Source organism: Homo sapiens, chromosome 2, assembly GCF_000001405.40.
Source record: "Homo sapiens chromosome 2, GRCh38.p14 Primary Assembly".
Lineage (NCBI taxonomy): Eukaryota > Metazoa > Chordata > Mammalia > Primates > Hominidae > Homo > Homo sapiens.
This window is the reverse complement of record NC_000002.12, coordinates 52,985,083-53,011,431: the sequence shown is the minus strand read 5'-3', so window position 1 is coordinate 53,011,431 and position 26,349 is coordinate 52,985,083. Positions and strand designations below refer to the sequence as shown.

Here is a 26,349-nt window from a genome sequence, read left to right as displayed (position 1 = left end):
TATCCAGAACCTATAGGGAACTTAAAGAAATTGACTAGCAAAAAAAATCCAAATAACCCCATTAAAAACATGGGTGAAGGATGTGAACAGACAGTTCTCAAAAGAAGACATACAAGTGGCCAGCAAACACATAAAAAAAGTTGATTATCACTAATTATCAAGGAAATGCAAATCAAAACCACAATGAGATACCATCTCACACCAGTCAAAATGGCTACTGAAAAGTAAAAAACCAGCAGATGCTGGTGAGGTTGTGGAGAAAAAGCAATACTTTTATACTCTTGATGGGAATGTAAATTAGTCCAGCCACTGTGGAAAGCAGTCTGGAGATTTCTCAAAGACCTTAAAACAGAGCTACTATTTGACCCAGCAATCCCTTTACCCAAATGAAAATAAATCATTCTGCCAAAAAGACACGTGCACTTGTATGTTTATTGCTGTGCTATTCAAATAGCAAAGACGTAGAATCAACTCAGGTGCCCACCAATGATAGACTGGATAAAGAAAATGTGGTACATGTATACCGCGGAACACTATGCAGCCATAAAAAAGAGTGAAATCACGTCCTTTGCAGCACCATGGATGGAGCTGAAAGCCATAATCTTAAGCAAATTAATACAGGAACAGAAAACCAAATACTGCATGTTATCAGTTAAAAGTGGGAGCTAAGCATTGAGCACGCATTGACATAAATATGGAAACAGTAGACACTGTGGACTACAAGAGGGTGGAAGGGGGTGAGGCTGGGTTAAAAAAGACACCTATCAGATACTATGTTTACTATTTGGGTAATGGGATCTATACCCCAAATCTCAGCATCCTGCAATATTCCCATGTAACAGATCTGCACATGTACCCCATTATCTAAAATAAAATTTGAAAAGAAAAAATTCTAAACAGATGAGAGATTTGAATGTAAAAATAAAACCAACACATTACTAGAAAAAAATATAAGTAGATACCTCTATCATCTTGAGTTTGAGTATTTTCTAATATAATAACAAAGAGAAGCATCAAGAAAATGACTTATTTGGGCTCTTTTAAATTGTGTGAATCTAAAACCAAATACCATAAAATTGTATTTATGAATTTAAAATGAAATCGACAACTCATAAAAGCTTATAATAGACAAGGTGTAAATATAATTAATATATGAACCCAGTATAAAAATATGGGAAAATGTGTATATGCTAATTTTAAAATGGACAAAGCATGTATCCTGGTAATTTGTGAAATAACAAATATGATGCACAAAGAGGCAGATGGCAAGATTTTTAACCTCAGAAGTCATGGAAGAAGATGTTAGAGGTAAAGATTAGGCCACTTGAAAGAGCACTCAGGATAGGTCAGACAAGGGAAGATAAAAACAGAAAAGAACAAGGAAAATGTCAAAGATAAGATGTGTGATAAGTTGTATTTCTTTTTATTATAAACACTTCATCCTCCTGGGTAAAATATATTAATACTTTCCTCCGCAATGGAATCAGTTTGGCCATGTGATTTTCTTTGGCCAAAGAAGTTTTACAAACTACTTTATTCTTTGTCAGATGTTTTTTTTTCTTTTGGCTACCATGATGGAGACTATAGCAAATGGAGACTGTTTAGTTCATGTGGATCCAGAGTGAAACCTTCATGCAGCAGACCCACAGTCAAACTGTGTTGGAAAGGTAACCTGGATGAGAAAAATACCTTTGTTTTTATAAGTCACTGAAACAATGGTACGATTTGTTACTTTGTTATACCCTAGTGTGTCCTGACTGATACATCTGGCCTACTTTACGTTTCTGACTTCTTGTTGGCAAATTGATCAACCAGGTAGAGCAAAGATTGTAAACAGAAAATATAACCTGTCAAAGAATGTGTACAAGAAAGAGAAGGTTTAGTAGGAGAGAAATGTTAACGGATTAGCTGGTTGTGAGTGGGAAGATTTAGGCAGTAAGGGATGAGAAATAAATGCAGTGAAGAGGAAAAAGGTAATAGAGAGTTGTCAAATGCCTCAATTACAAGTTTGTATTGGGTTGAGGACTTGACTTGAATGACAGTATTTCAGCTTGGAAACTACTGCTTTCTGGTTTTATGTTAGTTATATAATTTTTAAGTGTCATAAACTCTCTTGGTTTCTCCACCCTTCTTCCCCTTTTATTCTCAAGATTTATATTGATTCCAAGTCAATAACAACAAGAAAAACAAACATTTTGGAGTTCCTTCAGTTTGGAGTTCTTAACTGGTTTATTTTAATTCACTATTTCTCATCTGATGTATTGGTCTTTCCACTTATTTATTTTTTCATCCATTCATTCACATCATGGTATACATAAAGATAATACTTATACAGCAGTTACGGGTAAATAGAGGAGGCTGTTCATACTGAGACATTACCTAACTGGGCCGGCCAGACTGTTCCTGAGCAGAGAGGATCCATGCCTTGGCATACCTGTAACTCACTGAAGGGACCTGTGTTGGAAAGCTCTGTGATAAGTAATTGTGAGCCTGCAATAAGCAATTGTACAAATGATTTAGCAGAAAGCTTATTCTGGCTAAATTATGCTCCCTCTAGCTTATTTATTTAATTCTTATCAAGAAGAAGTGCAATGAGATGGATGTTGTTCATATCATCTACTTTTCTTTTTTTTTTTTTCTGACAGGGTCCCACTCTGTAGCCCAGGCTGGAATGTGGTAGCAGGATCTTGGCTTACTGAAACCTCCACTTTCTGGGTTCAAGTGATTCTCCCACAGTCTACCAAGTAGCTGGAACTGTAGGCATATGCCACCACACCTGGCCAATGTTTGTATTTTTAGTACAGACAGGGTTTTTCCATGTTGGCCAGGCTGGTCTCGAACCCCTGAGCTCAAGTAATCCACCTGCCTCAGCTCCTAAAGTGCTGGGATTACAGGCATGAGCCCCCGTGCCTGGCCATATTCATCTATTTCTTAAATGTAATCCATTAAAAGTGATGGTAATAAAGTTGTTAAGATATGTCTTCTATTTCAGGAATGGACCTGAACTGGCCTCCCATCTCAGGATATTAACTTGGATTTACACAGTACACTTGCTCAAACATTCCATAGTTACTGCTAGAGGCTTGCTTTATCCTATCATGTTCTAATTATCACATTTCCATAATCTAAATATTCCTGGACTCAAGTATAATTTCTCTTTCCTGAGATAAACTCACTTTCTACTCCCGGTCATATCTATTTCTCCAGTTCTCTCAGTCACATTAGTATGTGTCATTTTGCTCAATTGTATTCTGGTTTTTCCTTTAAAATATACTTGTCAAGTATGCTATAAAAATAATTCACGGTAAATTGATATTTTATGTGCCCCTCTCTTAAACATTAAGAGATTATTTCTGTACTTTCCTAATACAAATTTATTATGTTTACTAATTATCATTATCTAAATTATTTAAATAAATATAAATTATTTAATAAAATAGAAATTATTTACATGGGAAAAGAAATGGGATGGAGCAGAGCATGCTAAATTATCAGTGGTCCCATTCTATTTCTGTTCCAATTATATCAATCATAAAACTTGTAAGACCCCTAAACTAGAGTTTTACCGGTAGAATCCTAATAACTTTTTTTTGACATACGAGCTGTACATTTTCCAGGGGCGTCTATAGAATGGAATGATGGCCACAGAGAATGCAGGTGACAGAGAAGCTATGTGTTGGTATAAAGCGTTTTGTATCATAAATAGGACTAGAATGCAGGTGCCCACAGTAATATCCTGCTGCTGGACCTAATAAAGTGCCCTGGCTCAGCAGTTGTAAAGCTCAGAGTTGCTATTTTTGTTGAAAGATTTCAGATCCACGGTGTGAAACTGAGACACAAACTTGTTTGCCTCTTAGGATGGCAAATACATATACTTCTTTGGATTGCATTAAGTGTGGTAACACAGGATATGTGCGCATCACAATTAATGACAGTGGCATAGCAGGTTTGAGATATCCTGAATGTGAGTACTAACTGCTTTTCTTTCTCACTATTTAATCTTATTTTTTTCTCTTAACTGCCTTGTGTAACCTTTGCTGCATCTTCTCTCTCTTTTGACTTCCTTAATAACAGTGAACCTAATATTGCAGACTTTAGTCCTTATTTTTTCCTTCTCTTCATTTTGAAGTTCAGTATCAGTTACATTTGATAACACCTACATCTGTGTCCCTAGATCAAAGTTTTCTACTGAGATCCAGTATGTTATCTTTAATCCTCGACATCTCGAAGTTCAACTTGTGCTAGATGAGTCATAATTGCACCTTTAATGTACAACCAATTGTACCATCATTCACAGGAACACTGAAACTCAACAGCCAAGGTGTCATCATTGCTTCCTTTTCCTTTGCTCCCTCTAGCTTATTTATTTAATTCTTATTAGTTGTATTTCTTGAATATTTCTTGCATGTGTCACCTCCTCTTCATCCCCATCTGAACTGGCCCCTATCACCTCTCACATGGACTATTATAATAACTCCTTGGCTCGCGACTTCCCCCACTCCAGTGTATCCTTATAATGTCTTACCCTCTACACAAAGGATCGTGATTCTAAAACACAAATCAGATCCCATCACTTCCCAAGTTTCTCCACTGTCTGGTCCTCAGCACTTGTATTTGTGTGCACACAGGACCTCTGTGACCTGGCATCTCTACTTATCCTGCTGAATCTTCACTTGTATCACTCAGTGCCCCTGGAAGTGAGTACACTCTACTGCTTCACACCTCTTGGCCGTGCATATGCTTCTCATCTGAAGTAGCCCTTCACTCCTTTTCCACTGGCCAAACCCCAATTTTCTATTCAGAAATCAGCCCAAACACCCATTGTGCAAATTCCTGGTTTTTCTTGTGGTTGTATGTTTGGGCTATCACAGTATTTTTCTTCCTCAAGCCTCATTTTAGCTATTATCATGGGCAGTTTTAAGTTTGCTTACTGGTCAAATTTTAGAATAGACTGTATGCCTCTTTCGATAAAGAACCATGCCCCAGACTCAGTTCAGTGCCTGGCACATAGTAGATAATCTACAAGCAATTGTTAAGTATATGAATGAGTAAAGAGATGCATAAATTTTTGGTTTTAAAATAATTCAGTACCTCTCCTCTTTCTGCTGTACTAGGAGCAATAGTTTGGAGGTATCTTGGTGGTGTATTTATTTTATTTGCCTACGGGATTAACAAAGTTATGGCACTTCATAGCTGGTGTGGTGGCACAGGTACTGGTGAGGGCCAAGAACTGGCTATACTAGATTTATTTCACTTATTTGTACTTTCATGGAATTGAAACGTATTTTTCTATTCTGGTTAGTGCCTTGCATGTCCAGATAGAGACAAAAGGGATTGGTATTAAAAAGTATTGTTTGATGAGATTTTAAAAGAATCTTTGCGTCATGGTTGTGGTTTTTAAATATAAATGGAAATGCAAAATCTGTACTTTCTGAGTATCTGTACAAAGTTTGTATGGTAACCTATGTCTAAGATGGCCTGAAAAATGTAGCTGATTTTAAGCAATTCAGACTTTACAGGTCATACAATGATGTATTTTCTCAGTCTCTGGGAGGCAGAACTATAATAGACTCTTGGGGACAAAAAGGGGCTTGTTTTTTTAAACAAAACATGATGTTATACTAAGAGCAAAACTATTGTTTTTGACAAGGCATGTAAGAATTCAGTTAGATCTGACTCAAATGAAAATGGAATAAGCTAGTTTTGATTCAAAAGCTGTGGACGTTGCCTAGTTGTGAAATGAAGGGTCCATGAGGTTGTAGTCATGGCAACCAGTGTGGAGGGAGCTGAGCTTTGAGTGCCCTTGTCCTCCATCACTGTCAAGTTATAGATTCCGTATTTGGAGGGATGGTGTCGGCAACTTAGTAACAGGAAAGCACCAACTGAACCATTTCCCACCAACAAACCTGTATTTTGTGTAATGAACTAATGGTTATGACTGTTAAGGTAGTCTCCTACAAGGTTACAAATTGTAACTATTTCCGATAAAAAACCTGAAGCTTGCTGGGTGCGGTGGCTCACGTTTGTAATCCCAGCACTTTGGGAGGCCGAGGCGGGCAGATCATGAGGTCAGGAGTTCGAGACCAGCTTGGCCAACACAGTGAAACCGTGTCTCTACTAAAAATACAAAAATTAGCTGGGCTTGGTGGTGGACACCTGTAATCCCAGATACTCGGGAGGCTGAGCCAGGAGAATTGCTTGAACCTGGTAGGCAGAGGTTGCAGTGAGCCAAGATTGCACCACTGCACTCCAGCCTGGGTGACAGAGCTAGACTCCATCTCAAAAAGGCCAGGGGCGGTGGCTCACACCTGTAATCCCAGCACTTTGGGAGGCCGAGGCGGGCAGATCACGATGTTGGGAGATCGAGACCATACTGGCTAACAGGGTGAAACCCTGTCTCTACTAAAAATACAAAAAATTAGCCAGGTGTGGTGGTGGGGGCCTGTGGTCCCAGATACTCGGGAGCCTGAGGCAGGAGAATGGCGTGAACCCGGGAGGCAGAGCTTGCAGTGAGCCGAGATTGCACCACCACTGCACTGCAGCCTGGGTGACAGAGTGAGACTCCATCTCAAGAAAAAACAGAACAAAACAAAAAAAACCCCTGAAGCTTTTGGTTTTAGTTTTCCTGCTCTTTAAAAATAGATCTTGCAAAGGTTATTCTTAATTCATTGCCTTTCCACATGGGCCTCTGTGTTGGGAAGCAGTTAGTTCTGGTTGTATCATAAAGAGCGTCCTGTCATTTTCCTGTCTGTCTCTGCCTTGGTTACTCTCTTAATAGCCCCATACAATAAGCTGTCAGCATCTGAGAAAGAACCGATGGCACAATTTTCTCAATGTAGGGATGAGACTGAGGGGACACACAGTCGCTTTCAGGAGGTTTGCCTGAAGTTCTTTTCAATAAAGATTAGATCCACTGCCCTTGACAGGCTCCACAGAGCTGGCAGTGGTTTCTGAAGCAGAATCTTGGTTCCAGCTTTTCTAAAAGCTTCCTTTTACTTTTCTTCTCTTCATTCCATCTTCACCATCATCACAACAATGTGTACACAGGAAACTCTTGTGGATTAGTTAACATCACTTAATGATGGTTAGGGTAGAAAAGAATGTTGGAAACATTAGAAAAATGGAATAATAGTCACATAATAATAATTTCAGAGCTCTTAATGTAAAACTTTGTGCTATACACTTTATATACTATCAGTTCTTTCAATTATCAGTAATCCAATGAAGCAGATACTATCATCTCTATATTGCAAATGAGAAAATTGAGTCTCTGGAAAGTTTCACAACTTGTCCCAAGGGCAGCGATTAGCATGTGTCAGAACTAGGACTTCAGCTTTTCTGGATCCAAAGCCTGGAGGAGTTGATTTTTCTTTTGAGCAAAATAAATTTATTTCGTGGCAGCTCTACCCTTCTGGAGGCTGGAAGTCCAAGATCAGAGTGCCAGCATAATCGGGCTCTGGTGAGGGCCCTCAGCTCGCAGATGGCACATTCTTACTGTGTCCTTACACAGTAGAGAGAGTGATCTCACTCTTCCTCTTTTTATAAAGGCATTAATCCCCTCATGGGGGCTCCACCAAAGGCCCCATATCCAAATACCATCACATCAGGGTTTAGGTCCTCAACATATTAATTTCATAACACGAAGCTGGTGACTAGCCCAAGGCAAGAACTTTTGTAGTACCAGTGCAGTTCCTCTATAGAGTCCCGTATGCCAGGCTTGCTGAGGGTGGGCTTCCAAAGATGCACAAAAGAATATTCCATATGGTTATAGGGAGTGGTCTCAAAAGAGTCAGGCAGTTTTAAAAGTTTTAAAAAATATGTAATATATTGGGTTTGAATATGAAATAATAGGAAAACATACAGTGAAAGAATCAACATCTTTCCCCTACCAGATCCCTAGTTTGACAGCTCACAGACTAGTAATCTTAGTACATTTTGTGTATCCATCCAGAAATAGTCCATACATTTGTGAGAACGCCTTTTCTTTTGAGGACAATTTGATCATATCTGTGACAAATTTACTATTCAAGTGCATTTTGACCCAGTAATTGTATGTATAGATACATTAGCACAAGGGACTAAAGAGCTATATAGAGGGACATTTAATACATGATGCATGCCATTTATCCTATTTATTTGTCCCGTTTTCACTGAAATGAAAACAAACAAGCCTGGGTTTCTTAACCTCTGTATTGCCTCTCAACACCAGGTATGTAGGGAGTTAGGCTGTCAGATTGACCTTAACGTGATGCTTGCCTTCTGAATAATTCTTTTAGGCTTTCTATTTATTATAGGCCAACTTCATTAATTGAGTCAGTAAAATTTATTGAAGACTTCATATGTGCCATGCAGCATTTGAGGCACTTGAAATATCTGTGAATTAAACAGATTAGAACTCGGCTCCTAAAATTTAGTGAAAGACAAAAGTCTTTCACTAAAAAAGACAAAAAAGCAAACAAGTAAATAACCTTATTATAGGTAGTTATTCATGTTCTGAAGGGAAAAAACCCAGTGATTGAAGGTGTCTTTAAGTATATATTTAAGAAGATAAGGTGATTAGGGAATAACTACCTATGAGGGAAACATTTGCTCTACGACTTGAATGATGGGAAAGGGGCACCCCATCATGAATTAGGCTAGGACATTATCTAGCAAAAGTTCTGAGAGAGGAACTTACTTAATGTGTTTTAGGAATTGAAAGGTCAGCATGAATGAGGCAAAGGAGAAATGAGAAAACGGCACAAGATAAAATTGAAGAAGTGAGCAAGGGTCAGATCATGTGGGGTAATGCAGACCTGATACAAAGATTAGATTTTATCCTAAAGGCAAAAAGGAAATTTTAGAAGGTATTAAGCAGAGTAGTGGCATGATCTGATTTATGACATTAAAACAATTCCACTGACTGTAGAGAATGGATTATAAAGAAAGAACAAGAATGGGAACAGGGAGATCTGTAAGCAAATTATTAGTGTAGCCTGGATTAGAAATACTAGTAGCTTGGATTGGGCTGGTGGCAGTGGCACTAGGGAGAACTGCACAGATTCAGGTTACATTTTGAGGGCACTGTCAATAGGGCTCGCTGATATACTGGATATGCAAGTGTGAAGGGAGGGAGGATTAAGGACAACTATGGTTAAGGGCAACTCTGCAGGTCATTATGCTAAGTGAAATAACCAGGTACAGAACAACAAACATCATACATTCGACTTCTCTGTGGCAACTAAAAATTAAAACATTTGAACTCATGGAGACAGAGAGTAGAAGGGTGGTTATGGAAAGGCTGGGAAGGGTAGTGGGGTGTGGTGGGGGCGGTTGGGAGGTAAGCGGAGATGGTTAATAGGTACAAAAAATTAATTAGAATGGATAAGAACTGGTATTCACTAGCATAACAGGTGACTCTAGTAAAAAATAATTTAGTACATTTAAAAATAACTAAAAGAGTATAATTAATTGTTGGAAACACAAAAGATAAATGCTTGAGGAGACGGATATTCCATTTTTACCCCAACGTGATAATTACACATGGCATGACTGTATCAAAATATCTCATATAGCCCATATAAATGTATACACCTACTATGCACCCACACGTATTTTTTACAAATTTAAAAAAGAAAAACACAGGACAATTTTGAAGCTTCGGCTTGAGTGGCCAGGTGAATGAATGTGATATTTACTGAGACACAGGTGAACGAGAGAAGCAAATTGTGTACCAGTGACTAATTGGGTGCTGTTTACACAGTAACATTTAACAAATATTTATCATATTGACATGTAGAAAAGTCACTGTACTTAGCTAGTTTCTCTAAAACTCCAGGTGAAAGCGTCCACTGAGCAAAGCTTACTGACTAGAATCCTATTGCCCTGTCTTTTGAGAATGTCAATTCTGCCCCATTCATCACTAAATAGACATAATCACTTGTTCTCTAAATTGTAAAATTGCCTCCAGATAATTCACCAGCCTTCTGTAAAACCCTTATTAACCCGCTTCAAGAAATACTCAGTTCCTAAGTGAAAACAATATTTGTGTATCAGCCAGAGCTGGAGAGGCCCATTGTCACTTTATGAAAATTAGCTTTCAGGCCGGGTGTTGTGGGTCACGCCTGTAATCCCAGCACTTTGGGAGGCCCAGGCGGGTGCATCACGAGGTCAGGAGATTGAGACCATGCTGGCTAACACAGTGAAAACCCATCTCTACTAAAAATACAAAAAATTAGCTGCGCATGGTGGTGGGTGCCTGTAGTCCCAGCTACTCGGGAGGCTGAGGCAGGAGAATGGCATGAACCCGGGAGGTGAAGCTCGCAGTGAGCCGAGATCACGCCACTGCACTCCATCCTGGGTGACAGAGCTAGACTCCGTCTCAAAAAAAAAGAGAAAATTAGCTTTGTTTTTCCCTGTGGTAAATTGCAGATTCTTGCAAACAATGTAAAATGTGACTTATGTTCCATGTGATAAGGAAGATAGCTCTGATCATCCAGATTTTCCAACAAGACAGACTTATTTTTTCACTCATATTTTAATTGCTGTAATGTCAGCCTCAGAGTTCATTAAGGTTTTTAAGGTACCATATCCTGGGTATAAAATATTTTTATTGGGAAAATGAATTTTCTCTTGCCTTGAGACTAGCTCTCTAATTAAAAGCACATACCATTAGTGCAAGTATATCACATTAAACATACACCCTGATGAATTGATAATTCATCTCAATCTCAAATCATAATCATTTTATTACTTTTCTGCAAGAAAGAAACCTCCAGTAAAAGGAGAAGAAGCACAAAGACATTTCTAGAAATTGGACTTTTCTCAGCTGACTGAGGTTGTCTTTGACAGTCGTGGTTTCCTAGTGGTTTATAATAATTTGTTTTTTGTTTTTTGTTTTTTGTTCCTTTTGCAGCTAGCCAGCTGGCATTTGAACCTGCTGCCTTCAACCTGCCATTCTACCAAGACTGTTATATAACTGTTCATATTATATATAAAAAAATAATATTGTTTAAATATTATTTTGTAATAATCCAAAACCTTTTTATCTTCTTTGAAGGAGCTGCAAGAAAAGTTACATCTGTCATCAGTAAAATATCCTCCATTTATTCTAGACATTATGGTGATTATATGAAGAGTGTGGTCTATATCTTACTGCAGACACTGAATAGCACCAGCAGAGAATGATCATCTGCTGTTGTCACAGAATCAGCAGTTTTAGGCAGCATGTAGTACATTAGCTTTCAAATTTTCTTCATTAGAAACTCTCCAAGTTTAATTTACTCAACTGTATGGAGGTTAAAGATCTGCTGGTAAAGCACTCATCATTAACAGCGATTATTCATTGTCACTCTTGAGTAGGCAAATTCCACTTTTGGAGATTTTCTCTGCTAAGAAGAATTAATGGAAGCTGAGGAAGCAGGGTAGGAAGCTCCGGGCCACTACTCTAAGGCTTCTTAAAAATGGAGAAAGATTACACACTGCATTGTTATTGGCTGTAGTCACCCTACTGCACAATGGAATACCAAAACTTATTCTTCCTTTCTCGTGGTAACTTTGTACCCATTGACTAACCTCTCCCAGTACCCCCTTTCCTGTTGCCCTCTTTATCCTCTGGTAATCATTATTCTACTCTCACGTTCTACCATCTGACATTATAATATATATATACATGTCTTGAAACATTAGATTGCATCCCATAAATATGTACAATTATTGTGCATCAATAAATTTTAAAAATTAAATTTTTAGAAATGGAGAGGAACCTAAGCACCACAGTCATGTAGGCAGAGTTGGTTTCTTGTCAGAGTAGGGAGGCAAAGGGCACAGGCCATAAGGAAGGCAGAGGTGACAAAGGCAGTCTTACGGCCTCTCAGCTTGACTAAACTCTAGACAGGGTTCTTCCTCACTTTAAATACCTGATCTCCATTTTCTTAGAACATTTACCTGAGAAAATTTACAACTGTAAATTCTACCCTTTTGTACATTTTCTACAACTCAGGAATGTCTTTCTCGAAAGCCTCGAGCCAGCCGGGCATGGTGGCTCACGCCTGTAATCCCAGCATTTTCATAGACTGAGGCAGGCAGATAACTTGAGGTTAGGAGTTTGAGACCAGCCTGGCCAACATGATGAAACCCCGTCTCTACTAAAAATACAAAAAATTAGCCAGGCGTGGTGGATCCCAGCTACTCGGGAGGCTGAGATGAGAGAATCACTCGAACCCCAGAGGCAGAGGTCCCATGAGCCAAGATTATGCCACTGCACTCCAGCCTGGGTTACAGAGCGAGACTCCATCTCAAAAAAAAAAAAAAAAAAAAAAAGAAAAGAAAAAGAAAAAAGTCTGGGAGCCATCCCCTTAACAGGCCATCATCAAGACAGACAGAGCCCCTCTTTCCCAGTCTGTGTGAGGACAGGGGCCTAACTTTGGTAATTATCGATCAGTAAATACAGATAGCCAAGTCACATTGACCTGTATCCTCTACCTTTTGGAAATTGTTATTTGGAAAATCGGGCAAGTGGGTCTTGAGGATTTGCCTTCTTAAAAGTTTTAGTCTTAAGTAGGTTATGACTCTAAGATATTCCTCTCCATTCTTTTAAGGAGTTCAGAGGAATCAGTTATGCTTTCAAAGTGGACCTTTCAAAGTAGATCTTACTGCTTCCTTCAGAATCACTTGGATAACTAATAAAATATAGATTTCTGGACCATTCCAGAAAGTTTAAAATTAAACTCTCTAGGCATCAGGCCTCCGAATGTCTCTCTTAAATAAGCCCCTCACTTCTTTCTTTTACACACTAAAATCTGAGTACTACTGCTCTATAGTAAGCAATTAAATCTTTATAAAAAGAATAGAATAAGAATAAACTTATGAAAAAGATACATTTTGAAAAATAGAAGAATTTTAATTTTTAAAATGATAAAAGCATAGAGGTGGAGATTTTCAAAATGTGTTGAGATAGAAATCTTAAATCATTGGATTTATGTTGCTGCCTGTATTCAGTTTTCCCCAAAAAGAACCTTACCAATTGACAATATATTGTCCTCTTAACATTTTCTATTGAAGAAAATTCCAGAACTTTTTTCACTTATCCGTCAGAATGTACAGTGATTATGTTTTGCAATCTTTCTTTGTAAATCGTTTTGGCGTGCTTACCACAACTGAAAATTATTTTTTCTTGCTCTACCCACTGGCGTTGTGGTAAAGTAGTTGCAGTCATAGGAAAAAGAGAAAAACTCTTCTTTTTTACATTTAGTTTTTCAAGGGAAAAATTATATTTTAAAAAGTCAGCTTTTCTTTTCTTTTTTTTTTTTTTTTTTAGATCCTGTGATTTGTGGCACAGGAAAAATGGTGTCCTAAATCAGGCTCTTGGTGGCCCACTGACTCAGCAAAGTGGTTTGGTTTACTTTTGGAGGGCCCTCAGTCAGAGAAATGTATTCTTTTCCTTGATCCTCTTATCCCTGTGACTAATAACTTCTATTCTCTTTAACATCTATGCTGAAGGATGGCTCTGTCAGGAACTATTTACATTTGAGAGTGTAAATTTATAACATCGCTTTGTTTCTTTCAGAAATCTTCAGGTTGGAAAATTTTCCATTGTGGAATATAACATTTTCCGCAATGAAACATTAAATGAAGAAGATAAAGTCATTCTAGTAGCTAGAAGGCTTTTCTAGTGCTCCTAAAATTTACCCTTCTCTTCCTTTCATGCCACTTTCTTTAAAACAAACCCCTCCCTAAGAAAAACTATACATCCCAGGTCTTTTTCCCTGGAGAAAAGAAAGTGGCTTCTCTTAATAATCAATATGGAAAATCATGAATCGAAAGAAAAAACCAAGTAAGGTACGTGTAAACAAACAGCCTTCCAGCTTGAAACCATTTTCAGTCTTAGTTTCCACAATTTGTTGTCCTTTTCCTATCCATTATGCAGCAACAGCATTGGATTTGAACGTGAATTTTCCCTGCCACAGCTTCCTGCTTTCGTGGGCAAGAGAAACCTGGCATGGAACTTGAATCCTTGAATTTGCTCTGACCTGAACTTGTGCCACAGTTGAAATGTGCTGTGCATTGACTTCAGGATGGAGAAACAGGAGAAAGTGAGGCTGCTAGAGACGGTTTGTCCACACACACACACACACACATACACACACACACACACACACACACACACACACACACGAATTCTGATGATTAGCAATCACTGGAGGAATACAGTAAATTATAAGCAGGCTAAATTACTTTTTTGTTTTTATGTTCTTCTTGTCCCAATGTGGAAAGCCCCACTGTGTGAGAAGCTATACTGCAGCCCTTGGTACAAGTAAATGCTCAGCCTGGGACAAAAGCTTAAAGAGCTCTTCTCTCACAGAGCCTTTTGTTTTTTAGACGTGGATAAGCAGGAGCTTGGAAAGACACTTAGTTTTTAAGAAACACTGTGCCCTAAGACACTTAGCATGTAAGGCTTCTAGCACCCAGAAAATTATCTTGTACATACTCAGAGTAATGAACTTTGGAGGTTTTATCTGCTCTGATTACAAATTGCTTTTCTTCCTCTCTTCCTTCTCCTCCCTTCCTTCTCTTCCTTCTACTACTTCTTCTTCCATAAGGCTAAAGATCATGAAGTTTTGCTGCACAACAAAGTAAAATGGCATACCTGAATGTGTGATGGAACTCTAGGTGGCTAGGGACAATCCTATCCTAAAGTATAGAATACAGGGATAGGGATAGGGTAGACAAATACTGATGAAGTGCAGAACAGGAGCTGCGGGGAGATGATTAGAGTAAAAGAGGAGACATTGGCTCTGCACACATATAGAAACAAAGTGGAATAAGAATTTTGCATCTGGGAAGGCCTTGAGCTGTGCAGATGCAAAGGTCCTTCAGTGGCGGCCTTCATACCTGGCAGAGCTATTATTATTTTTTCCATGTTGGTTGAACAGGTGCTGTGTGTCAAGTGTTGTGTTAGATCTAGAGGCTGCTGAGAAGAATAGATCATGGCATTATCTGCAAGGTTATGAAGTTATACATGTAGAAACTGAAAATTACATTCAAATAGGATCCTAACCAATGAGGAAGTATAGAGTACTATGGGGCACAGTGGGAAATGTGAGAAATTTAAGAAGAATCAGAAAGTGCTCCATGGAAAAGGGAACATTTTAGCTGGGGCTTTAAGAGGGCGGTAGATTATCCAGGCCCCAAAAGGATAATAGTAAAAAAGTGGAGAAATGGCTTTCCTGCTTGAGGAAACAGCATGCCCAAAAGCAAGTCATGGAAGAAAATATTTTGTTTAAATAATATTGAAAACTTCCTTTATGAGAAGAAAATAAAGTAGAGACGAGTAGAGGGAAGGGTGGAGAAGAAGATGAGGCTAACCAGTAGTTATCCAGGAAGGCAAGAGAAGTTTGAAGTTTTGCACTACGTGAGTATATGTAGAACTCATGGATTGGGATCTGGATGTATGGCCAGAAGGCCAAGAATCAACACCAGTTGTGTGGAAGCTGTGAGGTGAACTTAATTCTGAAGCACAGCTCTGAACCAGCAAGTGCTTCTTAGACGTTGTGTTAGTTAGAAACCAACTCCAAGTTGTCAAAAAGCAGCTTCCTAGACATGCCTTCTTAGAAAAGAAGCTGTAAATATGGGAATTAGCCAAATTCACTGAAATTTATTTAGTCTTTATGTGCAAAGTAGCATACCATGTGAAATTAAAGTGATGAACTGCTTGCCCCAAGAAGCTTTTAGTGTATCAAGGAAGAAAGATATGTACTTCAATTATTGTAGGAGACTGTAGCATGCTGTGCCTCAGCAGGGAAGGAGAATGAGCCAAGTAAGAGGCTATACAAGGCAATGTGCCAAATATTTACATGGAATTCTCCGGCTAAGTAGAGATTTTTGTCCATTTTGGAAATGAAAAACATGCTCAAAAGGCTATGAAACTTTCTCAAGGAAATGCAGTTAACAAGTGTCAGAGCCAAAATCAGCTCAGGTCTACCTGACACTGAAACCTGCCTTCGTATCCAAATGTGGGCTGCTTTAAATCAAGCAGAATATAAACATTTGGCTTCCAAAGAATAATAGAAAGTTCTCAAAGCATCTCGGTCCTCAGCGCTTATGATCACCCCTCACCATATTTCCACTCTTCAGTATTTATCACCACTCCCATCACATCCCTAAAAGCTTCTTTCCCTGCTCAGCCAGGAGTGATGTCTTCCTTTCCTAATGCCTGCAGCAGCTGCCCACATTCTAGGTGTCCAGACTGACCTGTGCTACCTCTAGCGTCTCCTTCCCAAGCACATCTTCCATGAGGCAACAGATATCTCAAGGTCTAGCTTCAATGAGTTTCACAAGTGAAAAAAGTTACTACAAATGAAAATTACATCAATTAATATAGCAATGGGTAAAGATATTAGCATGAAAGCAGCAAACAGTGTCAAACCTGGAGAGGCTTGCAGCTGGGGGTAAGAGATGATGCAGAAGTGACCTGAGTTGATTGCTGGCCAACTCAGTGGTGCCAGGCCCCGTAAGAGCTCCCTTCCTGGGGAAATGGAAGAATTATATAGATCTTGATATTGACATCTGATTCTAGATAAAGTGAATGGGATTTCTCTGAATTTTTTTAACTTTTATTTTAGGTTTGGGGGTACATGTGAAGGGGTAAAGGTGTCATGAGGGTTTGCTGTACATATTATTTCATCAATCAGGTATTAAACCCAGTATCCGATAGTTATCTTTTCTGCTCCTTTCCCTTCTCCTACCCTTCCCCCTCAAGTAGACCCCAGTGTCGTTGTTCTCTTCTTTGTGTTCCTAAGTTCTTATCATTTAGCTCTCACTTATAAGTAAGAACATGTGGTATTTGGTTTTCTTTTCTGTATTAGTTTGCTAAGGATAATAGCCTCCAGTTCCACCCATGTTCCCGCAAAAGATAGGATCTCATTCTTTTTTATGGCTGCATAGTATTCCATGGTGTATATGTACCACGTTTTCTTTATCTAACCCGTCATTGATGGACATTTAGGTTGATTCCATGTCTTTGCTATTGTAAATAGTGCTAAAATGAACATATCAATGCATGTGTCTTTATGGTAGAATGATTTATATTCCTCTGGGTATATACGCAGTAATGAGATTGCTAGATCAAATGGTCTTTCTACCTTTAGCTCTTTGAAGAATCTCCATACTGCTTTTCACAGTGGTTGAACTAATTTACACTCCCATTAGCAGTGTATACATGTTTCCTTTTCTCTGTAACCTCACCAGCACCTGTTATTTTTTGACTTTTTAATAATGGCCATTCTGACGTGAGATAGTATCTGATTGTTATTTGCATTTAGCTAATGATCAGTGATATTGAGCTTTTTTTCATATGCGTATGGACTGCATGTATGTCTTTTGAGAAGTGTTTGTTCATGTCCTTGCTCACTTTTCAAACTATACTACAAGGCTACAGTAACCAAAACAGCATGGTACTGGTACAAAAAGAGGCACATAGACAAATGGAACAGAATAGAGAACCCAGAAATAAGGCTGCACATCTATGATCATCTGATCTTTGACAAAGCTGACAAAAACAACCAATGGGGAAAAGACTCCCTATTCAAAAACTCTTGCTGGATAACTGGCTAGTGATATACAGAAGACTGAAACTGGAGCCCTTCCTTACACCATACACAAAAATCAACTCAAGATGGATTAAAAACTTAAATGTAAAACCCAAAACTATGAAAACCCTGGAAGACAACCTAGGCAGTACCATCCTGGAAAGGGCAAAGATTTCATGACAAAACACCAACAGCAATTGCAACAAAAGCAAAAATTGACAAGTAGGTTCTAATTAAAATAAAGAGCTTCTCAACAGCAAGAGAAACTATAAACTAAACAGCTTCTAAACAGCAAGAGAAACTATCAACAGAGTAAACAGACAACCTACAGAATGGGAGAAAATATTTCCAAACTATGAAACTAACAAAGGTCTAATGTCCAGTATCTACAAGGAACTTAAACAAATTTACAAGAGAAAAACAGCCCAGTTAAAAAGTGAGATTTTCCTGAATTAACTCAGATTTAGTTTCTTTTGCCCTGTAGAACAGAAACTTAAAACAGAAGTAACTTGTTATAAAATAACGAAGTGTTACATTTCTTGCATGTTTGACTTTATAAGTTGAAAGTTGTACCCACTACGTATATCTATATTCTGTCTCTCTATCTAGACTCCAAAGTCTCTGAGTGAAGGGACTACGTTTCATATTCTTTTATATGTCCCAGAGTTCCTGGCAGAGTGCCTTAATTATACCAGCCTCAGTGGACATTCCTTGTGGAATTTTTCTTTCTTTCTTTCTTTCTTTTTTTAATGGAAAGAGATACTTGTTGCAGCTCACAGCCAGTGAAAAATGTAAAGAAAATGGATTGTGACCACAAACCTGAGCAGTTGTTGCAAGAATTAAAACATCTCAACAAAGAGTAGGAAGAGTTTCCATTTTAGCTTTAAAGATGTCCTGAAACATAGGTTCCAATATTGCTGCAAGATATTGCCTCTAACGTTGAGAGGCAAGAGTATCTCTAAATCTCTTAGTATTTCTGCCTAGTTGAGGGTATTTTCCTGGTTGCCGAAACTACAGTCATCTCAAGACTAAGGTATGTCTGAGTATTCAGGGCATGTAGGACCAAAGAGCTTCCTGAGATAGATTCATCCTGGGAGAAGCAATTGGAAAAGTATGTGAAAGAGGTCTAAAGAATCCTTTTATTGATAGGTCACAGGTATTTAATGCATTTCACTCAAACCCCCATTACATATGGATGGTTGGTGATTTCCCATAGTTAGTGTAATATTCTTTTATTCTGTAATGAACATTCATGTGATCCCACAATTAAAAAAATCTGTATGAAGCCCTAAGAAACTGCAATATAATGAAAAATAATATTTCTTATGTTCCCTTTTCTTTAGTTTGAAAAATGCTCTGATAATCTTTCTAGAAGGAAGGGAATTCCAGTTGCAGAGATTTATGTAAAGAAAGATTATCTGGCTATCTGCCCACGCTCTTAACCGGTGACATTATCTCAACCAGTCTACCATGGTCCTGTTTCTGGCTTTTAGGAATTTGATTAAGAAAACTAATTTACTCTTCATAAACTGATAAGACATCAGTGTAACAATCCAAATGCCAAATTTTAAGTTTACTAATTAAACTATGCATTATCTTCTGATGTGGACATACGTTTTTCTCATCAAAAAGTTATAGGAAAATCAAAGTTTCTTGTTGATGAAAGTTGTCACTGAATTAATTACATGACTAATAAATGTAACATCTTAATAGTATTAAGATAATATAGCATTCATTCATTAACAATTATTGTACACCTTGGTGTGAACTAACATGTGTTAAATACTTTGCTACATCTTAAAGAGCAGCATGGAATCAAAAGGTCAAAAGTCAAAGTCACTGTCTCAGAAGCTTACAGTCAACTGGGAAAGGTGGACAGAAAACAGACAGCTATGATACATTTGATAAATGCTCTCAATGAGGCATGAAATTGTTCAATTTTGGATATACTTTGGAGAGATTTCATTCAAGATGGGGGTTAAATGGGGGAAATTATGAGGGCTCCTACAGTAGGCAACATCTGAGTTACATCATGAACCATGAACCATAAGCAGAAGTCTTTGAAGGACGAAGGAAGGTATTGAAGATAGAAAGGGGGAGTCAGGCAGAAACAATACCTCAGGCAAAGACCAGGATCAAAGGATACCTTGGGATTTGCAGACAGTAAGTACTTCACCTCAACTAGAGCACAGTCTAAGTCTAATTCTGGGTGTACTGGGTGCAAAAAGGTGGGACTGAGTCAGATTACAAAAAACACAGTGGACTCATCTCCAAATTATGGAATATTTGTGGAAGAAAAGAAGAATTAAGAAACAAAAAGGACAGCTTTCTCTTTCAGAGCCATTCTTTTGCTTTGGGCTTTTGGTCATGATATGTTATATATTTTTAAAACATTTATCATTTAAAATTTGTACTTTTTTAGTTATATTGTTAACATTTTTTTCTTGCAATGTTTCTACTTCAACTGTTTATATTTGTTGACATAAAGTTATTGATAATAGCCTTTTTATTCACTGAAGTTATATTCTCTTTTTCATTGTAGTGTTGCTATTATGCCTTCTTTTATACTTTTTCATAATTAATCTTGCCAGATAGTTACCAGTTTTATTAGTCTTTCGTTTCGTTGCTCCTCTCTATTGTAGATTTTTCTGTTTCATTAATTTTTGCTCTTTATTCTTCCATTCCTCAATGGAATAATATTCCATCTTAAAAATTGATAAAATTCTCCTTCGGAACAACATGAATGAATCTAGAGGGCATGCTGAGTGAAACAGGCTAGATAGAGAAAGACAAATACCACACAATCTCACTTAGATTAGAAATTTTAAAAATGAACTAATTTCTTCAGTTTTTACATTTACTGTTTTCTTAGTTCTTTAGATGGATGCTTAGCTATTAACTTTCAACTTTTTAGTGTTCTATTATAAACATTTTAGTCTATAATTGTTAAAACTGTCAAAACCTACTTCAACTATATTCTATGCAATATTTTCATGTTTCATTCCATTAAAAATTTTTAAATTTCTATTATAATTTCTTCTTAAGTTCATTTATTGATTAGATGTATTCTTGATTTTTTTTTTTGATGGGGGAGTTGCTGCTTTGAAACCTCATTACATTGTATCTATCTGTGAGTAGTTTTAAAATTTATTCCTCCTATCACACAAGTTTAAATTTTGTTTTTTAAACAAACAAGTTTTAGAAACATCATCTCATCTCATTCAAAAACTTTGATTAGATGTTTGTTATATCTTTTTACTCCATCCTCCATGTCTTTTAATCTCCCATATTTTTCATCTTCTTGTTTTTCTTTTCTGAATACTGGATAATTTCTTTAAATAAGTCTTCCAGTTTTTTCATTCTCTGAATTTTTCTTCATTCTTATGTCTCTATGTTCATTGACATACATTTTCAATTACAACTTTTATTTTGAGATATTCTTTTTGGTTCTTTTCAAACCTGCTGGCAATCTTACATACTCTTACTGCTCACTCTTATTTTCTGGTCCCTATTTTATTTCTTGGAACATATTAAACATACTAGCTATTTTGTAAAATATCTAATATCTGAGTCTTTATAGTTTTATTTGTTTATGTTGGCTTTTTTTTTCCTCATGGTGTCTTATTTACTTTTGACTTTTGTGAATATTCACTGTGTTTATATTACTGGAAAATTTATCATTTGAAATCCTTTGATACGTGGGTCAAAAGTTGGTCCTCTAGAATGTATTTCCTACTGCTTTCAACAAGCACCTGAGGGTATTAAGCACCTAGGATTAGTTTGAGCTAAATTATGGAATTGAAGGTTTTTGCTACCTGCTGTAACGAGAGTTAGCTGTAGACATGCATTTTCAGGGGAAATATATTTTGTAACCCAGTGCTAAGATTTTATACAGGCAATTTTCCATGCTTCCCCCTTGAAAGGGAGATGCAGGTTTATTTCTGATCATCTTTACACTAAGGAGTATTTGGGATACCAATTGAATGTGGGGATCTTCTGTTTAGACTCTTTTGGCAAATTCCTAAGATATGTCTCCTTTTCCACTACCATCTTTCCAACCCCATCCATTGAAAATAAAAGCTCAACATCAACAAAAATTGGCTAAAGGCTCTAAGGCAAAAGTAAGCGTCAGTGCTGTGTTTACTTATTTGGATTCTCTTTTCACTAAGATTTTGGCCTCAGACAAGTCTTTTTATCCATGTTGAGCAATAAATGTACTTTAAAGAATGCTTAGTCAAGTCAAATTGTCCCTGTGCGCAGATGACATGATTGTATATCTAGAAAACCCCATTGTCTCAGCCCAAAATCTCCTTAAGCTGATAAGCAACTTCAGCAAAGTCTCAGGATACAAAATCATTGTACAAAAATCACAAGCATTCTTATACACCAATAACAGACAAACAGAGAGCCAAATCATGAGTGAACTCCCATTCACAATTGCTTCAAAGAGAATAAAATGCCTAGGAATCCAACTTACAAGGGACGTGAAGGACCTCTTCAAGGAGAACTACAAACCACTGCTCAATGAAACAAAAGAGGATACAAAGAAATGGAAGAACATTCCATGCTCATGGGTAGGAAGAATCAATATCGTGAAAATGGCCATACTGCCCAAAGTAATTTATAGATACAATGCCATCCCCATCAAGCTACCAATGCCTTTCTTCACAGAATTGGAAAAAACTACTTTAAAGTTCATATGGAACCAAAAAAGAGCTCGCATCGCCAAGTCAGTCCTAAGCCAAAAGAACAAAGCTGGAGGCATCACTCTACCTGACTTCAAACTATACTATAAGGCTACAGTAACCAAAACAGCATGGTACTGGTACCAAAACAGAGATATAGATCAATGGAACAGAACAGAGCCCTCAGAAATAATGCCGCATATCCACAACTATCTGATCTTTGACAAACCTGAGAAAGACAAGCAATGGGGAAAGGATTCCCTAGTTAATAAATGGTGATAGGAAAACTGGCTAGCCATATGTAGAAAGCTGAAACTGGATCCCTTCCTTACACCTTATACAAAAATCAATTCAAGATGGATTAAAGACTTAAACGTTAGACCTAAAACCATAAAAACCCTAGAAGAAAACCTAGGCATTACCATTCAGGACATAGGCACGGGCAAGGACTTCATGTCTAAAACACCAAAAGCAATGGCAACAAAAGACAAAATTGACAAATGAGATCTAATTAAACTAAAGAGCTTCTGCACAGCAAAACAAACTACCATCAGAGTGAACGGGCAACCTACAAAATGGGAGAAAATTTTCGCAACCTACTCATCTGACAAAGGGCTAATAACCAGAATCTACAATGAACTCAAACCAATTTACAAGAAAACAAATGACCCCATCAAAAAATGGGCAAAGGACATGAACACACACTTCTCAAAAGAAGACATTTATGCAGCCAAAAAACACATGAAAAAATGCTCACCATCACTGGCCATCAGAGAAATGCAAATCAAAACCACAATGAGATACCATCTCACACCAGTCAGAATGGCAATCATTAAAAAGTCAGGAAACAACAGGCGCTGGAGAGGATGTGGAGAAATAGGATCACTTTTACGCTGTTGGTGGGACTGGAAACTAGTTCAACCATTGTGGAAGTCAGTGTGGCCATTCCTCAGGGATCTAGAACTAGAAATACCATTTGACCCAGCCATCCCATTACTGGGTATATACCCAAAGGACTATAAATCATGCTGCTATAAAGACACATGCACACGTATGTTTATTGTGGCACTATTCACAATAGCAAAGACTTGGAACCAACCCAAATGTCCAACAAGGATAGACTGGGTTAAGAAAATGTGGCACATATACACCATGGAATACTATGCAGCCATAAAAATGATGAGTTCATGTCCTTTGTAGGGACATGGATGAAATTGGAAATCATCATTCTCAGTAAAGTATTGCAAGGACAAAAAACCAAACACCACATGTTCTCACTCATAGGTGGGAATTGAACGATGAGAACACATGGACACAGGAAGGGGAACATCACACTCTGGGGACTGTTGTGGGGTGGGGGAAGGAGGGAGGGATAGCATTAGGAGATATGCCTAATGCTAAATGACAAGCTAATGGGTGCAGCACACCAGCATGGCACATGTATACATATGTAATGAACCTGCACCTTGTGCACATGTACCCTAAAACTTTAAGTATAATAATAATAAAATAAAAAATAGAAAAAAAAAGATATTTTATGTAAGACATTTGAAGTTCTCAGGGTGAACATTGTCAGAATGTCTAGCCATAAGTATATCCATTAGTGGAACACACCTTTTAAATTGTAGGTAGCTGATGGAATTTTTTTGGTTTGATAAAGTTGGCATTGTCAGAGTTCCCATTTTCTTTCATGCATTAACATATGATTAAGATGTTATTCATCAGAAAGACTATAACAGCTACCTCCTTTCCCTTCCATGTAGTTTCTGACTATTGAAATATCAAACTGATTTGGGAGGCCGAGGTGGATGGATCATCTGAGCTCAGGAGTTCAAGACCAGCCTGATGAATATGGTGAAACCTCGTCTCTACTAAACAAATACAAAAATTACCCGGTCATGGTGGCATGCACCTATAGTCCCAGCTACTCGGGAGGCTGAGACAAGAGAGTTGATTGAACCCAGGAGGCGGAGGTTGCAGTGAGCTGAAATTGCGCCACTGCACTCTAGCCTGGGTGACAGAACGAGACTCCATCTCAAAAAGAAAAAAAAAAAAAAAAAAAAAAAAAGGAAGAAAGAAATACCAAACTGAGACTAGAAATAAGCAAGAGAAGCAGCATTACAACAGGTACAGAAGTTACCTTATACTGAAAGTGGGCAAGAAATAAAACTGACATGGAGCTATTGTTGATTGAGTATTTATGTAAGAAAAAAGTATCTAATTAAGCGAAGTTATTATCCTTCAGATATTCTAATACTACTTTTCTGCTAGATAAAAATGTTCCCGGTGGTCAGCTTTAATCAAAGATTAAAATTAAAAAAACCCTAAAATAAAGAAGAGTTGATCAGGTCTTGTTCTAGCAATCTGTCATCTGTGTAGATGTTACATGTGTAGCGTGATTTGGGATGGGGAGCAGTGGGAAGAACTGTAGAGAATTTTTATTGTATAGATGAACCAGTATGCCACAGTCTCCTACTGGAAAATTAAAGGCACTCAACTCGGACATTTGAACCTGTGGAATTCCATAGAAAGCATTCAAAGCACGATTATGCCATTATTACTGACACCGTAGAGGCCCAAGAAAACTAACAGAAAAAAGAACTGTACCTCTTTAGAATAACAAATTAAATATGTATAAAATATCTTCCACCCTACCTTTACTCCTCTGCAAATCTGGCTCAGGGGATATTTGGAAATATAGATTTGACAAGTGAAACATAAATAACCTATTTAATTTCTTGGTAGCTGAATATATTTTTGTTTTTAACCTGGAGAGATGGCAAAAAAGGAAAGCAACTATTTAAGTACCCTGTGGGTACCCTGCTCAGGAAAATGACAAAACAAAATAAATGGCCATTTTCATGTTGCTCCCTAGTGCAGGCAGAAAGGAATGGTGTTATTTCTTGAGTCTGACATAAATACTGGATTTCCTGATTGCTGGAGTATGTGTGATTATTTCAGATATTATGTTTTTATTCCAATGATTTTAGGGAAATTAAAGGAAAATTACTATAACATGTACAAAATCAGTGTTTCAAATAAGTGACTTAGGTTAAAAAAAGAGATATACAATATATTGGGGAAATTAAAATCATAATAATCACAGATTTTTAAAAAGTAGTATCACATAGAACTTTCAAATGTACTCAATTTTTCTTCTTTTAAAAATAGCAAATATCTGAATCAGTTATATTGTTAATAGCTAATAACATGACATTTCATTACGTTACAATTCCCTGTAAAATAGAATATATTTGCGGACAGCAATAATAGAAAATATAATAGTCAATGTATTATAAGGTGATTTCCTTTCTATAGAAATTTCATGGCATGAATTACATTGTAGCATAGTTTATGTTTTTCTTGGTTGGAGGATTTTGAACTTGGCTATTGCTAAGATATTAAAGACTTCAGTAATGATAGGAGTTATTAAGCTCAAAGAAAATGCTAGGTCTACTATTTTCAGAAGAAAATTTTTTTTCTGGTTTATTTGATTTGCCTACACAAATGTTGGCGAAATCTAATTCATCAGTGCATAACTCTTATGATTCACACGCAAAATATAACTTGAAGCCAAATAACAAAGGGTAGAAGAGAACACTAAACAGAGAATCTAAAAACTTGATTTTTGCTTGTGGTTCTGCAACTAACTAGCTGTGCAGTCTCCGTGTTTTCAGAATTTCTCTGCAGCTGAACTTTTTAACCTATGAATCCAGGAGACTGGATCAAAGGCCTTACTCAGTCTAAACTTTATAAAGATTAATAAGTGTATTATTAGGTGGATAATTTAGGTGCAAAAGACAGAAACCCAACTCAATGTGTGTGTGTGTGTGTGTGTGTGTGTGTGTGTGTGTGTGTGTGTTTTCTGTAAAGGGAATTTACTGCTTAACTTGGCTGAAGATCTGGAGGTAGACCAGCTCCAGGAGTGGTTGGGTCCAAGGGTTTGACTGATGACCTCAATCCTCAACTTTTCTTTGTCCATCTCTTGTGTTGATAATGCTTTCCTTTTCTTCTTTTTCAGATCGGCTGGTCTCATTCAGTAATTATGAATTATTTATTTATAATTCCAGACTTACTTATTCTGCATTTAACAGTGC

The 26,349-nt window shown here is 37.4% G+C and overlaps 1 long non-coding RNA gene across 3 annotated transcripts in view, besides 2 other annotated features; it reads left to right on the top strand.

The window, feature by feature from the left end:
• The window catches only part of LOC105369165 (uncharacterized), a 486,292-nt gene that overhangs the window by 197,536 nt on the left and 262,407 nt on the right, over positions 1 to 26,349 (top strand). The gene's annotated exons all lie outside the window — the stretch shown is intronic.
• Positions 7,388 to 7,590: a silencer, noted in NCBI's record as "fragment chr2:53230980-53231182 (GRCh37/hg19 assembly coordinates)". NCBI's record gives its function as "represses an EF-1alpha promoter that drives an FKBP-Casp9 reporter gene in an ReSE screen in K562 erythroleukemia cells {active_cell/tissue: K562}" and the evidence as "EXISTENCE:reporter gene assay evidence [ECO:0000049][PMID:32094911]".
• Positions 11,977 to 12,211: a silencer, noted in NCBI's record as "fragment chr2:53226359-53226593 (GRCh37/hg19 assembly coordinates)". NCBI's record gives its function as "represses an EF-1alpha promoter that drives an FKBP-Casp9 reporter gene in an ReSE screen in HepG2 liver carcinoma cells {active_cell/tissue: HepG2}" and the evidence as "EXISTENCE:reporter gene assay evidence [ECO:0000049][PMID:32094911]".